The sequence below is a fragment of the Homo sapiens genome, chromosome 3 (genome assembly GCF_000001405.40).
Source record: "Homo sapiens chromosome 3, GRCh38.p14 Primary Assembly".
Classification (NCBI taxonomy): domain Eukaryota; kingdom Metazoa; phylum Chordata; class Mammalia; order Primates; family Hominidae; genus Homo; species Homo sapiens.
The window spans coordinates 125,212,940-125,235,218 of NC_000003.12; the positions used below are offsets into that span (position 1 = coordinate 125,212,940).

Here is a 22,279-nt window from a genome sequence, read left to right on the forward strand (position 1 = left end):
GGGCTGGGGGAAAACAGGGAGTAGGGGCCGCAAGCCCACAGGCTCGAAGTGACCAGCCACTGCCTCTCCCCCCTCGACAGTGCAACCAGCGGAAATGCCCAGCCCCGGGACCAGGGGACTAGGGACAGGAGCCTACCCTGTGCGGCTCTGAGGAGTGGCTGTGAGCACTGCACGCAGGACTGAGAAAGCCCGGGATAAGCCCGGAGTGCAGGGAAACCCGCAGCCCCCTGGGCAGATGTGGAGAAGAATCTGGACAAGCTGACCGAGACCCCGGTACCGGGGGTCTCCGTGTGTGCCTGGCTGCGTGATCAGGTGACCCCAGACTCTGAGGGCGTGGAACTGCTTTTGCCAGGAAAGCGCTCTGGGCATGCTGTGTAGGGGTGAATTACCCTTACCCCCTTCACCAAGACCCAGAACTGCCTTTCCTAGGGGTGAAGTAAGGTTTCCAGGGCCTCATGTTGCAGAAAAAAAGAACCCTAAATTAACATACAGAGAGATTAAATTATCTCCATTCCCAATCTGGCATATTTCCTAAACCTTAAATAATTTGAGAGGCTTCCATGTGGGCTTCTGAGAAACAGGAGGGCAGCTGGGAGAACTTCCCACGCCCACAAGCCTTTGTGTGAAAATCCCTAAAAATAGAGGTTGTTCTTCTAAAAACAAAAGGGAAGGCTAAGCCATGGGAACACTGACAGAACCTAACCTCTCGCTTCTGCTCCAGCAAAGACGCGTGTGAAGATATAGAACATCATATTTGCCATTTTTACCATTTTAACTGTACAGTTCAGTGGTATTAATCACACACAATATTGTCCAACCATCATCGCTATTTCCAAAACTTTCATCGTCCCCAATAGACACTCTGTACCCACTAAGTACTAACTCCCCGTTTCGTCTACCCTCAGAGGTAACTCCCCTCATCTACTTCCCGTCTCTATGGATTTACCTATTTTGTGTATTTCATGTAAGTAGAATCATACAATACTTGTCCTTTTGTGTCTGGCTTACTTCACTCAGCATAATGTCCTCAAGGTTCATCCATGTTGTAGCATGTGTCAGAATTTCATTCCCAGCAAAGAAATTTTTAATAACCCATCTCTGCCAGAAAAAAAGACCCCCCAAAAGTTACAGATTAACCATCTGTGAACAAAGGATGAATGGGCGGACAGGCTGACACAGTCACGTTACTGGAATCCATTATGCAGTCACCGCTTGGCATCTGCAGGAAATTAGTTCCAGGCCCCCTGACCAATACCAAAATGCGTAGATGCTTAAGTCCCTGATATAAAGTGATGTAGTATTTGCATTTAACCTACACACATCCTCCCACATACTTTAAGTCATCTCCAGATTACGTATAATACCTAATTCAAGGCCAGGCACAGTAGCTCACACCTGTAATTCCAGCACTTTGGAATTACAAAAATTCCAAATCTCCAGGCCAAGGTGAGAGGATCACGTGAGCCCAGGAATTCAAGACCAGCTTGGGCAACACGGTGAGAGCCTATTCTTTTCCCCACAAAAGAAATTTTAAAAATTAGCTGGGCATGGTGGTGCATGCCTGTAGTCCCACCTACTTGGGAGGCTGAGGTGGGAGGATTGCCTGAGCCCAGGAGGTTGAGGCTCTAGTGAGCCATGATCATACCACTACATTAAAGCCTGAGTGACAGAGTGAGATCCTGTCTTAAAAAAAAAACAAACAAACAATCAAACAAAAAAAAAAAACTATGTAAATTGTTGTTATACTGTATTGTTTAGGGAATAATGACAAGAAGAAAACTTTGTACATGCTCAGTACAGCTGCAACCATGCTTTTTTTTTTAACCAAATATTTTTGACCTGCCTTGGTCAAATCCACAGATATGAAGGGCTGACTGTATTTCCACAGATTCATCAGAATGATCAGCAGAGTCATTTTTCTTATTCACTTTTGGTGGGTCATACATGACACTGCTCTTTTTTTTTTTTTTTTGCCTCAAGCTGGTTTCCTGTTTGCTGTCACCTTCCGATGAGTCTCCCTCTAAGTGTCAACATGAATTTTGAAGAATCTGCATTCAATTCCATATCAGCCTGAGTTAAAAACTTTAGAATGGGGAATCCACCTCTCGCTTTATAACCACCTACTTCCTGTCACTCGTCATTTTCTAAATAAATGAGAAGTTCCCTTCAAAGCTTATAAGCATCTTCTAAACCCAGAAACAAATATAGTTGTTTATTTTCTTCATGTTAAGGCTACAGAAACCTGCCCTTTGCAAAGAAAAATATATATATATCCTGCTTAATGTAGATTTTTCTTATAACAATAACACTAACCTTAAAAAAACAAAAAAACAAAAACAAAAACAAAAAACCTCATGTTGAAAAATAGTATCCTGGCTGGGCGAGGTGGCTTGCACCTGTAATCCCAGAGTTTTGGGAGGCTGAGGCAGGTGGATCATCTGAGGTCAGGAGTTCGAGACCAGCCTGGCCAACATGGTGAAAAACTGTCTCTACTAAAAATACCAAATTTAGCCAGGTGTGATGGTAGGCACCTGTGATTCGGGAGGCTGAAACAGGAGAATTGCTTGAACCTGGGAGGTAGAGGTTGCAGTGAGCTGAGATCATGCCACTGCACTCCAGCCTGGGCGACAGAGTAAGACTCTGTCAAAAAAAAAAAAAAAAAAGAGAGAGAGAGAGATAGTATCCTGCATATCCTTTAAACATTGCCATTTTGAAGATACTGCCCTACATGAACTAGGAAAAGCATGTTTGTTGCATCATTACTTTGTAATACTTTAAACAATGAGAACAACCTAAATGTCCATCAACAGAAGACTGCTTAGATAAACGGTACAGCCATACTATGACAGCTGGCATTAGAAATAATTAGGTGTTTCTGGGCTGGGTGCAGTGGCTCACGCCTATAATCCTAGCACTTTGAGAGGCTGAGGCCGGCGGATCACCTGAGGTCAGGAGTTTGAGACCAGCCTGGCTAACATTTGTTTTTTTTTTTTTTTTTTTTTTGAGACAGAGCCTCGCCCTGTCGCTCTGGATGGAGTGCAATGGCATGATCTCGGCTCACTGCAACCTCTGCCTCCTGGGTTCCAACGATTCTCCTGCTTCAGCCTCCCGAATAGCTGGGATTACAGGCGCCTGCCACCATGTCCAGCTAATTTTTGTATTTTTAGTAGAGACGGGGTTTCACCATGTTGGCCAGGCTGGTCTCGAACTCCTGACTTCGTGATCCGCCCCCTCAACCTCCCAAAGTGCTGGGATTACAGGCATGAGCCACTGTGCCCAGCTGCCTGGCCAACATTTCTCATAAAAATACAAAAAATAAAAACCCCATTTCCTTTTTTTTTTTTTTTTTTTTTTTGAGACGGAATCTCACTCTGTTGCCAGGCTGGAGTACAGTGGCATGATCTTGGCTCACCACAACCTCTGCCTGCCAGGTTCAAGTGATTCTCCTGCCTCAGCCTCCCGAGTAGCTGGGATTACAAGCGCCAGCCACCACACCTGGCTAATTTTTGTATTTTTAGTAGAGACAGGGTTTCATCGTGTTGGCCAGGCTCGTCTCGAACTCCTGACTTCAGGTGATCCACCTGCCTCGTCCTAAAAACCTCATTTCTAATAAAAATACAAAACAAATTAGCTAGGTATCATGGCGTGTGCCTGTAACCCCAGCTACTTGGGAGGCTGAGGCACAAGAATTGCTTGAACCTGGGAGGCGGAAGTTGCAGTGGGCTGAGATGGTGCCACTGCACTCCAGCCTGGGTGGCAGAGTGAGACTCCATCTCAAAAAAAAAAAAAAAGAAGCAAAGAATTAAATGTTTCTATACATGCTATCATGGAACTCTGTTCATCACATAATAATGAATAAACACAGCAAGTCGAAGAATAATGTATAGTGTTGTTTTAAAAAGCAGTGTACACACACACACACACACACACACACACACACACACACACACACACATATATGTGGTTTGTATAGAAAAATATGGCCGGGCGCGGTGGCTCATGTCTGTAATCCCAGCACTTTGGGAGGCTGAGGCGGTTGGATTACCTGAGGTCGGGAGTTCAAGACCAGCCTGACCAACATGGAAAAACTCCGTCTTTACTAAAAATACAAAAACATTAGCCGGGCATGGTGGCACATGCCTGTAATTCCAGCTACTCTGGAGGCTGAGGCAGGAGAATCGCTTGAACCAGGGAGGCGGAGGTTGCGGTGAGCCGAGATTGCACCATTGCACTCCAGCCTGGGCAACAAGAACAAAACTCCATCTCAAAAAACAAAAAAAGAAAGAAAGAAAGAAAAGAAAAAAAAATACACATCAATCTGTTAATAGTGGTTATCTCCAGGGAGGGATTGAGATAGTGAGTATAGACTTTGGTGTATAAATTCTGAATTTTTGTTGTTGTTGTTCTGGTAGAGACAGGGTCTCTGTTGCCCAGGCTGGTCTCAGGCAATTCTCCTGCCTCAGCCTCCCAAAGTGCTGGGATTATAGGCATGAGCCGCCAAACCAGTCAATTCTGGATTTTTATTTATTTATTTTTTCTTGCAACAAGCATACGTTACTTTGGAATCTGGAAGGGGTGGGGTGGGAGATGAATAAGAAAATTAAAAAACAAACAATGTGGGGTAGATTGTATTTCCCATATGCTCTTCCTACAATATGATGTTGGGATTCCTTCAAAAGGAGTTAGGGTCTATGTTACCTCCCACTGAGCCTGAGTGGACCTTTTTAAGTGCCCCAGCCAACAGGAGAAATGGCAGAAATGACACTACATGACTTTGTGGGCTAGGTCCTAAAGGCAATACGGAGCCTGGCTTCCTCACTGTCAGTGCACTTACCCTTGGGATTCAGCCACCATGTTGTGAGGAAGCCACATGGAGAGGCCACATGTTGGTGTTCCAGCCAATAGCCAGTGTCAACCACTGGACATGTGAGTGAAACAAGCCTGCAGATGATTCCAGCCGCCCGCGGAGGCTCCAGGCATTGTAGAGCAAAGACAAGCTGTGCTTGCTGGGCTCTGTCTGAATTCCTGACTCACAGAACCCATAAGAGAAAATAAATCATTGTTGTTGTTGTAAGCCACTAAGGTTTGGGGTAATCTGTTACGCAGTGATAGTGAATACCTAGAGCATCCAACCAAGGTTAAAAAAAAAACATTTTATTTCCCTTCAAAGTATTTCTATTTATTTCATTGTTTGAATTCACTGTTTTTGAAGCCCGGTTATATATATAAAAAGAATAATATTGCTATTAAAACTCACTTTTTTTTTTGAGACGGAGTTTCGCTTTTGTTGCCCAGGCTGGAGTGCAATGGCACAATCTTGGCTCATGGCAACCTCCACCTCCTGGGTTCAAGTGATTCCCCTGCCTCAGCCTCCCGAGTAGCTGGAATTACAGGCATGCACCACCATGCCCAGGTGATCTTGTATTTTTAGTAAAGATGGGGTTTCACCATGTTGGCCAGGCTGGTCTTGAACTCCCGAGCTCAGGTGATCCACCTGCCTGAGCTAGGTGAGACACACAAAGCAATAGGCTCACTACTGTGTGCTTCACCTTGACCTTGAGTTGTTACTGAATAGAAGAAAAGGTGAATTTAAGGCCGGGTGTGGTGGCTTAGGCCTGTAATCCCAGCACTTCGAGAGGCCAGATGCTCCCTCACCTCTTTCCTTCCAGTGGCTGGCACTGAGAAATGCCATCTGTGTGAAGGCTGGCAACAAAATCATAACCTGAAAGATAGCGTCATTTGTCAGAAAGTCTGAACCCTGGAGGGAGATCAGGGCTCCGAAAAGGTCAACCAGAATAGGAATGGGAAAGCAGGTTGAAAACATTAAGTCATGATGTGAATAGGTATGTACACAAAAACATATCTATCTCACAGCCTAGGCCCTGGAACCACAGTCAAAAGTGCCTCGAGAGGTGGCTCACCTAGTGTGGTGCACATTTTACAATCACCTAGGGGTGGTTTCAGAAAATACCAATACCTGGGGGACCCACCTCCAGATATTCTGACTTAATTACTTAATTGGTCTGGGGTGGGGCCTAGAAATCAGCATTTTCTTTAAACTTCTCAGATGATTCTAATGCTCAGCCAAGGTTTGAAAATCATGAGATTTCTAGCCCGATAGTATTTTTTCCCCTCTTCAAAACACCTGAGAGATGGAATACATCTTGTTGGCAGTGGTGTCTTATTGTAGTTACAATTTTCAATGACAGGGAGAAGGTGGATATATCACTAAGGCAGCACAAGTAATTTACTATTTAAAGAGAGTAATTATATAAACTGCATATATATGTTTTAGTTGGTCATTGTGATGCACCTCCCTGGGGCAAGCCTGCGTATTTAAAAAAATCACAGGAATTCTGCACACACTCACAAGGGTTTGCCGGCTCTGAGGGTGGAGCCGAGATTGGAACATAGGTCTCATTCCAATGCCAGGCTCTCTCCTCTGCACAATGCAACCTCTTTAATCCAGGTGAAGAGATAAAACAGAAAAAAGTTTTCCTTCTTCATGGACTTTGACATGCAATTCCAAGAGCCCCAGGTCCAAGAGGGTGTCCTGCCAGAGGGCCACCCAGCATTCCGGGGAGCTGGGAGGGGGTGACTCGGGAGATGCAGGCCGGAACAAAGCACAAGCCCTCACACAGGCTGAGAGAGCCTGGCTCCCAGGGAAGTTGGGGCAGGCCAGTCTCCTCCTCTGGCTTCCCTGGTAAGACTGAGTGGAGAGGGAAGGGCCGCAGCTTTCCTGGTGTCGGGTGTTCAGCTCCTGTTGGACAGGTCTCTCCTCCAGGATCTAGGCTATTTGTTGATTCTGGGGGTTTGCCCTGACAAGAGAAAGTCATTCTGCCTCTATCAGCCACCTGGCATCTGTCATGGGCTGGGACCTGGTGGGAGCACAAAACAAAATGTAGATGCAGAAAGGAGCCAGAGAAACAGGGTCCAGATTATTTTATGATGACAGTGGCAGCCTCACTAGACTGTGACAACAAAGTGATTAGCATTAGCTTTTCCTCAAATACCATCTACGGCAGACCCAGTGACAGGCTGTCTAGAGTGTAGATGAGAGAAGTCAGGTCTGGATCTGAGACCTGATTCTCCCTCTTCACTCTATGACCTTGCCCACGGTCTCCAATGTGTCTAAGCTTCCATTTTCTTACTTGTAGCATGGAGTTAATGATTAAGACCTGCCGAGCCTACCTGGCAGAGTGGTTATGAACATTCTAGAATTTTACTGGGGACTGAAATCCAGATCAGCTATCTCGTTTTCACAATCCACTATTTTCCCTCCCATTTTGAAAATCACATGTCCAGTTTTCTGGTCTTACGGCAGTTATCCAGAGCCTCAAACTCCCTGCGAGTGATTCTTCTGCCGGACCGGCAAGCTTCTCTTTCCATCCTTGGATATAACTCAGGGGCCTGCATCCCCTCCTTCAACCACATTCACCAAACATCTGTTGCTCACCGACTGTGGCCAACACAGAACACAGAGTGGGAAGCAAGACCGCTCCAGGCAGGCGGGCAAGACAGACTTTCATCAAATGCTCACACATTACAAACAGCCGTCTAGAGGCTAGAGAAACTGTACAGAGTGATGAGAGAGATTCTGAAATGGTTAATGTGACCTAATCAGGAAAATCAGGATACGCTTTTCTGGGAAAGTGATGCTAGGGCTGAAATCCAAGGGATGTATGGGGTGGGAGTAGGAGGTTTAATGGAGTGTAGAGAGAAAATAGTGCCTTTGTAGCCCAAGAGGACATGACCAAGTATCCGAAGCTGAAAGCAGTCCAGTGGTGAAAGAGGAGAGAGGATGAGAGCCTTACTGTAGGGAAGGCGGGGGCTACGAGCAGCAGATGACCTCACAGGGCCAAGGTAAGGAATGCCATGTTTCTCCAAGTAACAACTGGGAAGCTTCTGACGCATGGCTGTTATGTGGAGCAAGAACCAGAGGCCAAGAAGAATGCATGTACAGGAACTTACAGAAACCCAGGCAAGACCTGAAGGTGGTTTGGGCTGTGGTAGTAGTAAAGGGAGGGAGGGTTCCAAAGAATTTGAGAAATATTCACAAGCCCTGCCCTCCAGGAGTGGCCTGATTGATTAGATCATAGAATACTTACTGAACCCCATCCAGCAGTGAGCATTTTCCATTACTAAGCCTCACATGTGGACATGTCTCTTTTTTGCTTCTTCTTTTCTTTGCTCCTATGCAACTGGAGCAGTGAGAAAAGGGCTGGGGCCCACCTGCTCACTGATGAGTCCTGGCCATCCTACTCCTTATTCATTCGATTCTCATATACTGAGATGCCCCGGTCAGCACGAGGTGGTAAGGTGCCAAGGGGAAGGAAGTGGCTCTAGAGGCCTTACAGTTCCAGCCACATCCTCTAGCTCATTTCTATACTAGGGTTTGGGAAATGGGCATAGCACATATTGTATTAAGAGGGTGCCTTGTTTCCCACTGGCCATTGATTCTTGTGTGCCACTTTACGGAATTTTTTTTGAAGGTTATGGCAAGTGCGAGTTGTAATTGAGTGCAGAATTCTGGCATTTCCAGGCTCCTGGATGACAGCATCATCTTAATGCCACTGAATTTCCACCACACTTCTAATACCTTCAAATAGCCCTCCGAATGCCTCCTGTACCCCCTAGCATTGTTCATTCATTCACACTTGCTCATTGTGTGAGGTAGCTTTATGCTCTCTGAACTTAATGCCTTTAAGAAGCTTACAATCTAATCCAGGGGGTCTCACAATCTTCTCCTGATGATCAATTTAGTTTTGAATGTTCCTGAAATATGAATACTTAAAAAAAAAACAAATAAACCTAACCTGCATGAGAGGCAGGGCTTCAAAACTCATCACATAGCATCTGCTGGTTGTTTCTATTCGATGTATACCTGTGATTATGGTATAGACACTCAGGAGAAAGAAATAAAAAGAATAGCAAAGAAGGGGCAGAAATAGTGAAAGAAAAATAATGTAAGAGAAAAAAAGGAAGAGAGAAAAAAGTGGTTCCAACATCCTAACCTCATTGTCCATAATTTTGCTTTTGCCTCATGGGTCAGCCAGGTTCCCGTTCCTGACTAACCAATAGCTTAGGAGTGAGAAAGTGGGGACTTCCACCTCAGTATATTCCCTTACTTTTGTAGGATGACACTTCTGCTTATTGTTTCTCATTTGTGGCAATGTATGTCAGTGTTGTTTAGACTTCGTCCACAATGTTCCATCCCGTTCAGTGTATGTGATAATGAAATCATACTTTTTTTGAGACAGGGTCTCACTCTGACACCCAGAGTGGAGTGCAGTGGCACAATCACGGCTCACTGCAGCCCCAACCTCCTGAGCTCATGATCCTCCCATCTCGGCCTCCTGAGTTGGTGGGACTTCAGGTGTGCACCACCACACCTGGGTGTTAAAAGTTTTTTTGAGAGATGGGGGTCTCTGCTATGTTGCCCAGGCTGGAGTCATAGTTTTTTAATGAAGTTTTTTGATTATGCGTTTCTAAGGTTTAGGGCATGTGCTTTATAATACGCTGTACTCCATTTCCCAGTGAACACAAATTATGAGATAAGTAATCACTTATTTACAAAATTCCTATCACTTCTGCCTCACTAACTAGTTATTCCTTGTTGGTCAATTAAATCCAGACAGACTCTCATATCTTCTTCAGTCTTTTGAAAGATAATATTGTCTGCAAGTGAAAGTTATTACATGTTCTGCTTTACATGAGATGAAGCTTCCAATTGTGAGGAAGCCAGGCTCTCTATTGCCTTTAGGACCTAGCCCACAAAGTCATGTAGTGTCATTTCCACCATTTCTCCTATTGGTTGGGGCACTTAAAAAGTCCACTCAGGCTCAATGGGAGGTAACATAGACTCTACTCCTTTTGAAGGAATCCCAACATCATGTTGTAAGAAGAGCATATGGGAAATACAATCTACTCCACATTGTTTGTTTTTTTAATTTTCTTATTCATCTCCCACCCCGCCCCCTCCAGATTCCAAATACTTTGGAATCTGTATTTACTGAATACAGTAAATACAGTAAATACACTTGTCCAACTCTGCTCTATCTTGCTTTTGTGCTGCTTCAAAATCTGGATAGGCTGGGCACAGTGTAATCACACCTGTAATCCCAACACTTTGGGAGGCCAAGAAGGGAGGACTGCTTCAGTCCAGGAGTTCGAGATCAGCCTGGGTAACATAAACAAACAAACAAACAAAAAAACCCTGTCTCTATAAAAAATAAAACAAAGATTAGCTAGATGTAATGGAGCAAGCCTGAAGCCTCAGCTATTCAGAAGGCTGAGGCAAGAGGATCTCTAGAGCCCAGGAGTTCGAGGACACAGTGAGCTATGATCATGCCACTACACTCCACCTGGGCAACAGAGCGAGACCTCCTTAAGAAAATAAATACATAAAATCTGAATAGGGTATGTATTTAGCACTTTACAGTTTACAAATTATCTCAAGTGATTTGACATTCACAGCAATTCATATAGGCATTCTTTACCCTTAATTTGCAGATGAAAAAGTTGAGGTTCAGAAAAATATGTGACTTGAACGAGGCTACACAGATAGATCAAGGCAGAACAGTGATTTAATCCTCTTAAGTCCTCTGCTTATTTCACTGCCCCTTATTTGCCCATGCAGCCTATAGAATATTATCAAACTACAGCTCTACTGTCTCACAATCATCCCCAACAAAAAACATGCATAGCTCATTTAAAGCTGTCCCATGCAGCATTGGATATACTGCCTTGGAAGTATTTTCTTGAAGGATATTTTTAGTCCGAGGTAGGGTGATCACTTGAGACCAGGAGTTCAACAGCAAGCCTGGGAAACATACCAAGACCCTGTCTCTACACAACATAATAAACATAACGGGGCATGGTGGCACATGCCCGTAGTCCCACCTACTCAGGAGGCTGAAGCAAGAGGATCACTTGAGCCCAGGAGTACAAGGCTGCAGTGAACTATGATCATGCCATTGCATTCCAGCCTGGGCCACAGAGCAAGACTCCATCCCCCTCCCCCCGAAAAAAACATAAAACAATCCACAAAAAAAGGAAACCCTATTTTTTACACACATATTACTAGACTCTGTGTTTACTCTCCCCTTCCCCCCCACCCCCGACAACGCACAAAACTGCTCTCAGCCATCTTCTGTGAGGTCTCAAATCACTCTGCATGCATTTACTCTGCTGTGTCCTCTTTCAGCCATTTCGTGATCTAGCAATCAGGCTTAACCCTCATACTGTCTTCACAAAAGTTGCGTTAGGGTGATGGTGCTGAAACTTCCATAGTTTTCCCATAGGGAAAACTACCATATCGGAAGTTTAAAAGGTAAGTTTGGCAGAGGCCAAAATACCTTGAAGGAAATGGCCAAGGAAGAGAAAGAGAATCATACAAAGGGACAGCTGGAAGTTATTTAACATGAAGTACCATAAACATAATCGTAGTCTGGGAGGATTGAACAAGTAGCATATGACTTCAAGGTGTTTAAAATATTAATACCTTTCCATGAAGACTGCTAGAATGACGAATCAGCCTTGGTTTAGTTATTTCTCCACTTCCAGGAAACCATCTCTCACCACCCATTTCCAACCCCGCAGTGGGGTACAGGTGACCCTCTAGTGTATTTTCACTCTAATGTGTGTGAACCTCAGTCCTGTGGTAGGTCAGTTCCTTCAAAACAAAGTCTGTTTCTCATTTCCACAGTCCAGGCTTGAATCCTATCCCTAACTTTGTTACTTTAGGTAGAGTATAATTTTTGACAATGTTCCCTATTTCCACTTTTTTAGTCTGTATATATTTTCTATCTTGTGAAATTTATTAAGATTATATTTTCTAATCCTATCCTAACAAAGGGAATAAATGTACTTACAAGTTTGAGGGATGATATTACTCAGCATAGCACTCAACACATCTTAACACTCATTGTTTGCTTGAATAATCTAAAGTACAATACTGCAACCTGCAATTGATAACACTATAAATACCTTTCACATGGTCAAATAAAGATGCTAATGGCCTCAACCACCTATTATTTGCATGGAGCACAATGCCTGTTATTAAATAGATGATTGGTGCTGAATGAACGCAGGGTCAAAGAAGTCGGCCCCAGTAAGACTCAGATCAATAGAAAACACAGTTCCTACCTTGGGCAAGGCATTTCTTTGGCTCCCTTCCCCACCTTGACACAACATCTTATTTTCAGAACCTTATTAAGAATGAGAAGCTAGGGAAAATTAAGGTTACAACTTTAAAAGTTCATCTGTATTAGTAGGTAAATATGCAAATGCTCAAATGTTCTCTAACAATTCAAGTCCATTTCTAAACTTGAGTTTTCCCAGTCACTTGAAAATCACTTTGAAATGTCATTCTAATTTACAATATCACATTTCACATCCCAGCTCTTACACATATGCATATGCAGCTGTGTGAATGTCTGGGTAAAATGTTCCTTTTAATTACACTTGAAAATGACAAAAGAAAGAAAATTATGAGACCCAAATTTTAGCTTTAGTTCACTTAAAACTTTTCACCTCCATTCATTCTTTATGCATCATATGAATATAATTTATATCCTATCAGGTTCACCAGAGAAGAAATAAAACAGAACAGCCAGCATTCTGAAAAAAAAAATTTTTAAATTCAATCCAAACATATAATCAGGAAAATCTTCATAATCACTTTGTGCATGATAAATTGTCGAGTAAGACTCAATGACAACACATTAATTCAAGTGACTTCAATTTTTTATTTTTTCTTATAATCTTTAGAAGATTGGAGAAGTATCATGTAGAATATCTCCCCTCCCCTCTCCCCACCATTCCTAATCATTCAAGAAAAACTGGGATCTAGGAAATGCATTAGTAGACTATCAGTGGTATTATTATGTACAATTGGTTAAAGCACCATGCTAATAATAAGGCCAGGGTCCTAGGACTGATCATTGCGAGGGCCAATTAGTTTAAATTTGTTCCATGGACCCAGACTGCACTCCTAACCACAGACAACTTTCTTACAATGCATCCCGCTGGTCACAAGCTAGGGTACTGGCAAGGTGGTAGATGGATGAAAACAAATCTCCACTAATGAAAGAAAAAAGAAAAGAAATCCCACGTATGCTGACAGTGGGTTAACAGAGTCTTATCTGTAAAGAAAAGAACACATATTTTCTTCGCTCTATGATAAACACGTTTCAAGTCTAAAATATTCAATGACAGTAACATTTGACTCTTGCATTTTAGAATAACATTCCACATAAAGCTATAATAAAGGCCCTGATAATTGTTACCCAATTTGTGTAACTGTTAATTCCACACAGAAATTCTTTTCTCTTTACGGTTATATCTATGCACCATGATTTTTGCATATTTACCATTCGTTATTTGGTTCAGAATATTGTGAAAAATTCAGCTCGAAAATTATCCATAAAACTGTATTCTATATTTTATTTTTCAAACAGCCAGTGTCCACATTTAAAATGCAGAATTTGCAAATATTAGTCTAATAATTCAATTTAAAGTAAAGCAAAACAACTTCCTTTAGTATCACAATACATAAAATGGTTTTATAAACTCCAAATGGCAAAGATAACTATATGACAATAGTGTTGAAAGCCGTGAAACTCATTAAACCTCTTATCAATAGGTCAGTTTAAAGAACATCTCTATGTTCCATGACTATGCATGAAACAAGCTGTCACTGTATTATAAAGGCTCAGCAATTCATTCATGGCATAATATAGGGTCAAGCAAGATTTTGTTTTTACAATGACAATTAAAACATATTTAAAGAAACAAAAAACCTCCCAATTGTTTAAAAACAATTCTATTTGGAGAGCAAAATATTTTAAAATATATCGACTTACCAAATTTCAATTGTCAGGCTGCTGACTACTGATGTAAAAGTTTATATTTAAAAATATCACAAATCTCTTTTTATTTAACACTGAAAATTTCAATGTGATAAGTTTCATTGCAAAGCAACTGTCACCTGAGTAGATTTTAAAATTTAGTGCTCCTATTTTTTGGGGGAGAGGGGAAGGAAAGACCCATTTTGTATCTGATCCCGAGTTTGCAGTTGAGTCCTTCCCAATGATTTCTTAGGGAGTTGAAGAAACAACCTGCTGCAACCTTCCCAAGACACACGATGCCCCCCTTTCCCTCGGAAATTTGCTCTAGCATTTTAGGAACTCTCAGTATTCATCAAATATTTCCATTTCACTACCCACTCAAGCATAGCAACCCAATTCATTTAGTTCTATACAACAGTGTCTATATTATGTACATATTTAATTATCAATAGGAAATAGAAAATAAAAATTTACAGTGATTGAGAAAAGGTCAGAAAATGGGATAGGAATAGTAATACTGTATAATCAGAATATCCTATTATCTTACCAGTTTTAATGACAGGGTTTTTCCTTTATTAGTTGAAATACAAAGAAGGCATAGGGGATCCCAGGAAAATAACACTATATATCAGAAAATTCAACGTGCTCCACCATCAGGATTTCCATCACACACATTTAATTTCTTCTGTACAATGTTTATAAACTTGTTTTTCTTTTCAAAATCATCAGATTTTCAGATTAAATTCAGCACTACACAGTATGCCCTTGAAGTAAAATGAGGTTACCTGCTTTATTTGGATACCAAGTTCCCTTCAGACAGCATTAAAATAAAGACAAGTAAGACTACACAGATAAAATCCAGTATAATTCAAATCCAACAATGAAAAATTTCCCCCATATTGTTGCAAAATTCTTTCTACTGAAATGCTTTGCTACAATAATAAAAAGCATACATTACATATAAAAGATACCAGTGTACTAAAAAGTGACAGAAGTGGACTAGCAAATCCTTCAAAGCACATTATATAAATGACTAGCATTTAAAAACATTTTTTCCTATAAAATGTAGGTCATATACATTTATAAATTGGCGGTTTTATTTCTAAAGCAGTGATGTGTGTGTTCAAATAGCTGTCCTGTACAGTATAATATCTACTCACTTGAAACTATAATAGGTTTGTCTTTCTTTGTATTGAAGTTGAATAAATTCATCTGATCAGCTGAGAAACCAAGCTTGAAAAATAAGTATCTAAAAATCAATGTAGAAAGTTTAGAATTATTGAAATGTAGTTATGAAATATGAAGAGAACTATCTATTTCACAATGGAGCTGAAGTCACCTCAAAACTTACGGGCTTGAATCTAAAACAGAAACAAATATTAAAATCCAAAGCAAATCACAAAGTTAGGTAGCAGTACAGAAGCAGGAAAAAAAACCACATCCCTTCCTTCAGTGTGATGGGCACTAAGTTTTGCGGTCTTCCTCCATCTTGCAGAAGAGTGGTAAGGCCATTCAATGCTTAGTGAAAGTGAGTACAGATGAAGTCAGATTTAGCCTGTCTCCCCTGCAACTTCAATTATGCTGTGTAAACAGTGTTACGTTCCAATAGGAGGAACAATGGAATTTGCTTATAAAAACTGATTAAAGATAATCATTATTAAATGAAATAAGGATAATTAATAACTCTGAAATGTTTTTAGAACTTTCCTGATGCTACTTGTAAAGTTAGCACTGCTATGTATTATTGCTTACATACAGTACAACATCATATGCCTTCTAACATAAAGCAGTACTGTGATTTGTTTGTACATATTTACAGATTCTTAAAAACAAGCTGTAAAAACATTACATACTTTCAGACAATACAAATTAGCACATTGGTACTCACTTCAAAACAAATGGAATGCATAACATTAATAAACATCATAAAGGAAGACTCACATAAAAGTCCTTGATTGTCAAGACACGTTTATATATAAACTCTAACTGTGCAGAATTAAAGATTCAATCATAGGTACATCCTTATTTGATGAACCATATTTACAGCATGGTATTGCATAAAAAAATAAAATAATGTTTACAGGGTTTTACTTTTTTATCCATTGGATTAAAGAAAGCAACAAACATAACAAGAAATGTTTGTCTGCTTTAGTTTGTTTCCTACCAAAGTTTAAGTGAAAAAAGGAAACACGGTTTTTATTTGCAGAATATAGCAAAACAACTGGAAAATTATTTCCCTGAAATAAAGCAATTTGAAACGGAAAATTAAATTAAATTTCAGACTCAAAATACTTCTCAATGATTATTATAGTGCTTCTTCAAGTAAATATACTGTGAAAAAAAAATGAGTTCTAGTTTAAAATGTTCTAAGAAATGCAGTACTACAGTAATGCCTACTTTTAAAGTTTCCCGGCCTTTTTTTTTTTTTTTTAAACAGCCCTTTAAAAACCCAAATTAATCAAATGAAAGAAGCGGCAAAAGATCTAACCTAGCTGGCACTCTGCAAGTGTCTCTCCTCTGTGGAAACGAAATCCTGCCCTGAGCACAATTCTTGACATAACTGCCTTCTGCCTCTTGAGATAAAAATGACCTGACCGATGGCTGGCACCCTCAGCCAGAGCTAAGAAGATGGATTCCTACCTTGTTAAGTACCACATTTGCATGTAGACCCAAAACGTTTAAGAGCCACTTAAATATTCAAGACAAATGAAATATGTGAGAATAAGGTTTTAAAAAACCCTTTAGAAGATGTTCAAGAGATACTGCCTCGCCTAACGTGATGTTTCCAATCTTCAAACGTGAGTAGGTCCCAAGAGGAAAAGCACACCTCACTCAGATTGATCAAAAGTTTAAGGGTGTACCAGCATGTTTTTATAGAACAATGTGCTCACTTTGAGAAATGAGAAACATGAATTGCAGAAGAATATCTCATATCCTCCATGTTTCAATCTGAAGCAGCACACAAGGCTACTTATTTTCTCCATTAATGCCCAGATAGAAATTAAATAACCTTCTGAACCAAAGTGGGGAAATCCAAAACTGTTGAGATGTTTGTCATATTATGATAGAACAAGGTAACTCTGGTAGGCATTTGGAATTTCACAGTAAGAGAGTGATGACTATACGTAAATGGTAAGTCAATAAGTTATGCTGGCTGAGTATCACTTATCTAAAAACTGCTTATAACCTGGTAGAAAAGTCTGCCATTATGTAGATTTAAAGAAATGTGTTGAAAACAGGAATGCAACACCTGAAAGTCTGCTTGCATAACTACCATTTTCAAAGGCCTTCCTTCCCAAGCTCACCCTAAATGCTCAGCAAGAGTCACATTCTAAAAACTATGCTGGTGATGTTAAAACAACCGAAAAAAACCTCTCCACTGTATCAAAATTGCATCAAGTTCTCCATGAACAAAATTTTTGATCAGGCTCCAAAACAACTCAAGAAATAAATGCCTACTCTCACCAAAAGAGAAAAATACCAATGCCTATTTAGGGTGAGCACAGTTCCATTTTTAACGTATCACCTGAATGAAGCCTTTTTGTAATTATGTAATGCACAACACAACACACACAATCTTAAGAGTCAATAATGGCAGAACTTAAATATTTACTTCAAAGAAGTCTTAAATTCTTGAAAACTTTGGCAGCAAAGAAAGCTGTCAAACGGGAAAACTACTATTTCAAGCAAAACTTAATAACCAAAGTATACAGGAAACCACATTAAATATAATTTATATTCCTTATCATAAAAACACCAATATATTCAAAATAAATGAAGGATGTTAAGGGTGGATAGTTATTTCTTCCCTTTCTTTATGAGAACAGTCTTGGGATAACATTAAATAAAAGAAAAAATAATTTAAATGGATAACATATTCTATATTGAAACAAAGACTGCAGAGCTATAGGGCCAGTATAAGAGTCAAAATGGAAATTAAGAATATTTTCATTTTCCAAGGGTATTAATTTTAGATTTTCACTGGTGCTATATCAGGATGTGCATTGTGACAACGATGGCAGAAAATTTAAAATGTAAAAATGAAAAAGTTGTAACAAAGAGTCAATAACTAATATAACTTCCAAAAATCAAAACTGCCCAACGCATAACTCAAACCATCATTCTTCAGAAAAGTGTGTGTGTGTATATATACATAAAAGCACTATTTATTGTACCATGCTGTATTATTTTAAGACAGAGTATTAAAAAAAAACATTCATGGTATAAGGATAAAGTCTGTAGTTTATTTAGATTTTGAAATGCAACAAAAATTTTCCGATCACTCATCTAGCTGAAAAAGAAATGGTAGTTACTGGAATTAGTAAACACTTTTGGTTTGTAAAGTTGTAATGAGCAGTGTTCATTAAAAAGTAACTCAAGATAAAATATGCAATTAAAATGCCCATTTCTTTAGTTTCTCTGGATACTGTTTAATTATCCAATCTATCAAGAGTCTAGAAAGAAAAAGATTAAACCAGGTTTTACAGTTCCAAAGATATCCCAATTTCCTTTTATTGCCAAAAGTTAAAATTGTCAATTACGAGATGATTATGACACAACCATATCAAACCTAAAAATCTAATTTTTTTTTTACTTTGAGAAATCAAAAATACCAAATAGATTCTAAGTGCTCTATGTTAACTGAAGTGTATATGTAAAGTAAAATACAATTAAGCTTTAAAACGTGGAATATACATTTTGTGTAAGCATTATGTTCTTGGGAATGTAATCTACAGAATTTCTTTTACTAAAACTTCAAAACCTTGATACCTGCACATGAAAAATCATAAAAAATATCTAAGTACAACTGTACAAAGAAACTGACACCAATATGCATACTTCCATAGAGAAGTGACTGCTTCAACAGTTGTGTGTTTTGGTAAAAGTTCTGAAAGTATGCATATTTTTAAAGTAATTAGGCTTTTAAATAGTGGAGTCTTAGACTATCAGATTTTTATTACTTTTTTTCCTTCAAAAAAACACGTCAATATAATGCAAAATGAAAATCAAGGGTATATGGCATATCATTCTTTTTAAAAGGTGGTTTCTTGGTTTTTTTCCCCCTATAGGACACACTAATTTATTTAAGCCATAATCTCTTGACATTAAACTTTTAAGTTCACTCTGTCTGTAAAGTATACTCAGATTCCCTGCTGAAGTGCAATGACTATGCTGAAAAACTTAGAAACAGTATGAGTAAATTTCACACAATTACTAATCTCCTAAGAATGTACAATGTTATCAGTTAGGAAACAATTGTGCGAAAGTCTTTTTTTTTTCCTTTTTAACTTGGTGTGGGTGGAATAGCAAGTTTCTGATCTAAAACAAGTAATGCATTGCTTCTATAAAGGTGACAACATGTAAGGCAGTTCAAAGAATGCTGACTAACCAAACGAAATGCAGTTATTGGATTATCTTGCTATTCATATCAGCTTAACTTGTTATTACGCATTGCTCTTAAATCTGTACAGCACTCCATTTACACAGAGTAACCCCACTCTTGATTAATCTGTTCTAAAGTGCCAGTATTATTTACACTTTTTTTTTTTTTTTAGCCAAAAGTCTGGCCAGTTGTGGCATCAGGTGAAGATGTCATCCCAGCTCTATTATCATTTACATTCACCAAGGGAAATTCTGAAAATTCAGCACTTGTCCCTGGTCCCCGAAGGTTCACCTGTCCATTGGCAGTGCTAAATTGAGTAGCTATTCCAGCTCTTGATCCATGATAGGGAGCACGGAAGGGCTGTTCAAAGGAGCTCATTTGGTAAGCTTGGTGGACAGGCTGGGCCTCAGCTTTCTTCTGAGAAGTCACTTGATCCAGAAAGTCCTGTGTTGATGTGGCAGAAGCATGGTTTGTCTCATCACCTGAAAAGGGAAATGAGTGCTGTGAATCACCAACTATTAGTCCAAAGTGGGACTTATCTGGAGTTGTTCTTAGTGGAGAATTCATTCCTGATCGAAAGCTATTGATGGGCATGGTGGCATAGACCTGCTTGTCTATGGAAGAGAATGCTGGCTGATTTGGGAGGGTCTGGTTATCAGTCACAAAGTTAAGGCTCGGGCTATTCAAATAGGCATCATTTTGGCTAGTTCTGTCCAAAGCCTGCTGCAGAAACTTGGAGTATTCCTGCAACATGTTGGCTTTATCTGATGAGGATGCTTGGGAGCTTGATCCAACATTCTCTGACGGGGTGACCTCTGGTACTTCTGAAGAATTTATTGATATGCTAGAAGTCACTTCAGTATCTGCAACACTGAAGGATATCTCATGCTGTCCATTAGCTTTGTGGGAATAATGATCCAACAGAGTCTGCAGTACCTCATCTGGAATAACATTTTTGTCATGATTACTCTTAATCTCCACATTCAGTGCCTGTGACTCTAATATGGATGCCGTGGTACTTTCATCAATGACACTTGCCACAGCTGCTTGTGTTACAGAAGGCTGAGAAGCTATGGTACCCACATTCAGCGCATATTCCCTGCTGTTGTTACTTGCTGCTTGAAGATACCGCTTCTTCTTCAAAAACTGCATGGCATCATCATAATTAGTACTACTATGCACAGGTTTACTGGGCCCCTCCTGCAAATTATCAACCTGATCAATGTCAGCATTGCCTTCTGAGTCCAGTAAAGCCTGTTTATCCACAAGTTCAAAAGCATACTTTGAAACTTTGCTCTCTTCATATGTGGATAAAGGTGAAATTGTTTGATTTTGCTCCAGTGGCTGTTTCAGACTTCTCTTACTATTAATTTTTTTGAGAACTAACTTAGGTGGGTGTATTTCTCCTGACGCATCTTCTAAATGCGAGCCCCCAACTGACGAATGTGGCATTTCAACAGCATATTCTGCAACCATATACTCATCTTTTACTTTAGTACTTGAAGAATAAAGAGGCAAGTAATCATTTTTGTCTTTTTTCAGGTCAGATTTGTCCAAAGCACTCTCTTTGTCCATTCCAGATGATTTTTTCTCCGTTTTCTGCCTTTTCTTTTTTGGCAGTGAGTTGTCTTTTGGTGATGTAGAAAAGCCAGAATCTTCCTCAGATGTCAGAAGGCCACCTTTGATGGCACATCTATTTAGTTTTTTGTCATGATTTTCATGGCACATACGTTTATGTTTCAATACACGATCTGTTCTGGAAAAATACTGTTGAATTCAGAGGATGGTAGTGGGTTGTTTGTGGTTTTGGTCAACCAAGAAAAGAAAAAGTGAAACAAAACAATTAATATAAAGATATATTAATGCAATAACATACATAATTCCAAACAAATTCACTGAGCCAATTTTCTATTATAAATCTAATCTGTAAGAGTTAGAAGGCCCCTTAAATAGCTCTAAGTTGTAATATTTTCTAATCTAATTTATAATTATTGTATAATTTAATTACAGTAGAAGAATTTCAAGCCATCTCTCTTACCTGTAAACAGTATTCACACTGGTAAGGTTTTTCTCCACTATGAGTTCTCTTATGCCTTTCCATATGATATTTTTGTATGAATCTCATACCACATTCATCACAGCGAAATGGTTTTTCACCTAGCACATAATATAGAAAGTTTAAAACAAAACAAATATTGTAAAATAATGAATTGCTTTGCCATAAGAATCTCTAAAATAAATGGCTTTTGAAAGTTGTAACTTCCAATTTCATTTGTCAAATATATTTTGCTTTATAAAAATGAAAAGGATTAGCATATGCTATTGGAAAGAAAAGGATGAATACAGGCACAGTCCATTTTCCTGTCTTTTTGTTATGTGCGTATGTAATACCCTCTTTCCAAGGAGAACAGCAGTGCCAGGAATTTATAGCAATATGAACAGACTAGCTGATGTTTCTAATCTTTTTTTCAATCATATAAAATATTGTATAACAGTAAAAAACAAAAAGTTACCCATGCACAATACAACACAATTCCTGGAGACAGTTTTTTAACTCAATTCCTTTTTTAAAACATTTGTGGTTAAATAAAATCTGAATCCTGAAAATATCCTTTAAAATCTAATTTAATAAAATACAAAAAGAACTTAGAGTCTTAAGTTTGTTTATATTTATTCTTTTCCTCAACTCAAGCCAGCACTTCCCATATCATTTAGGGAATGAATTAAACTGAGTATTGTTAATTGGACACATAACACATAACCCCCATTTTTGAAAATCCCCTAATGACTCCTAGAATCTTCTGATTCATAGTCAGGTGTGTTATCCATTGTGCCACTGGCCCCCGCAATGATTTCTAAGCTGTAAAGAACCACTACTATGAAGCTCTAAAATAGTTTTTACTGATAAAACCACAGTCTAAGTAAACAGAAGGGTATGACAAGAAGTTACCTTGAATAATGCTTGTTGGGGAAACTACTGTTTCTCCCTTTCATACATTTAACAAAATTTTTACCAAATACTACTACTATATCCAAACCCCTTGTT

The 22,279-nt window shown here is 39.4% G+C and overlaps 1 protein-coding gene across 12 annotated transcripts in view, besides 3 other annotated features; it reads right to left on the reverse strand.

Moving 5' to 3' along the window:
* Positions 12,730 to 22,279, reverse strand: part of ZNF148 (zinc finger protein 148) — a 149,686-nt gene continuing 140,136 nt past the window's right edge. For all 12 annotated transcript variants that reach the window (NM_001348426.2, NM_001348431.2, NM_001348428.2 and 9 more), the window contains 2 exons: positions 21,272 to 21,390; positions 12,730 to 21,000 (listed from right to left, as the gene is read on the reverse strand). In NM_001348426.2, the coding sequence (NP_001335355.1) occupies positions 19,402 to 21,000; positions 21,272 to 21,390 (1,718 nt within the window). In that variant the 3' untranslated portion in view covers positions 12,730 to 19,401. The remainder of the gene's footprint in view (positions 21,001 to 21,271; positions 21,391 to 22,279) is intronic.
* Positions 18,892 to 19,092: a silencer, noted in NCBI's record as "peak4809 fragment used in MPRA reporter construct". NCBI's record gives its function as "represses an SCP1 promoter by STARR-seq MPRAs in K562 erythroleukemia cells {active_cell/tissue: K562}" and the evidence as "EXISTENCE:reporter gene assay evidence [ECO:0000049][PMID:32103011]".
* Positions 18,892 to 20,225: a biological region, named in NCBI's record as "P300/CBP strongly-dependent group 1 enhancer GRCh37_chr3:124950809-124952008".
* Positions 19,026 to 20,225: an enhancer, noted in NCBI's record as "P300/CBP strongly-dependent group 1 enhancer chr3:124950809-124952008 (GRCh37/hg19 assembly coordinates)". NCBI's record gives its function as "activates an origin of replication core promoter dependent on BRD2, BRD4, P300/CBP, MED14 and CDK7 cofactors, with strong dependence on P300/CBP, by STARR-seq in HCT116 cells {active_cell/tissue: HCT116}" and the evidence as "EXISTENCE:reporter gene assay evidence [ECO:0000049][PMID:35650434]".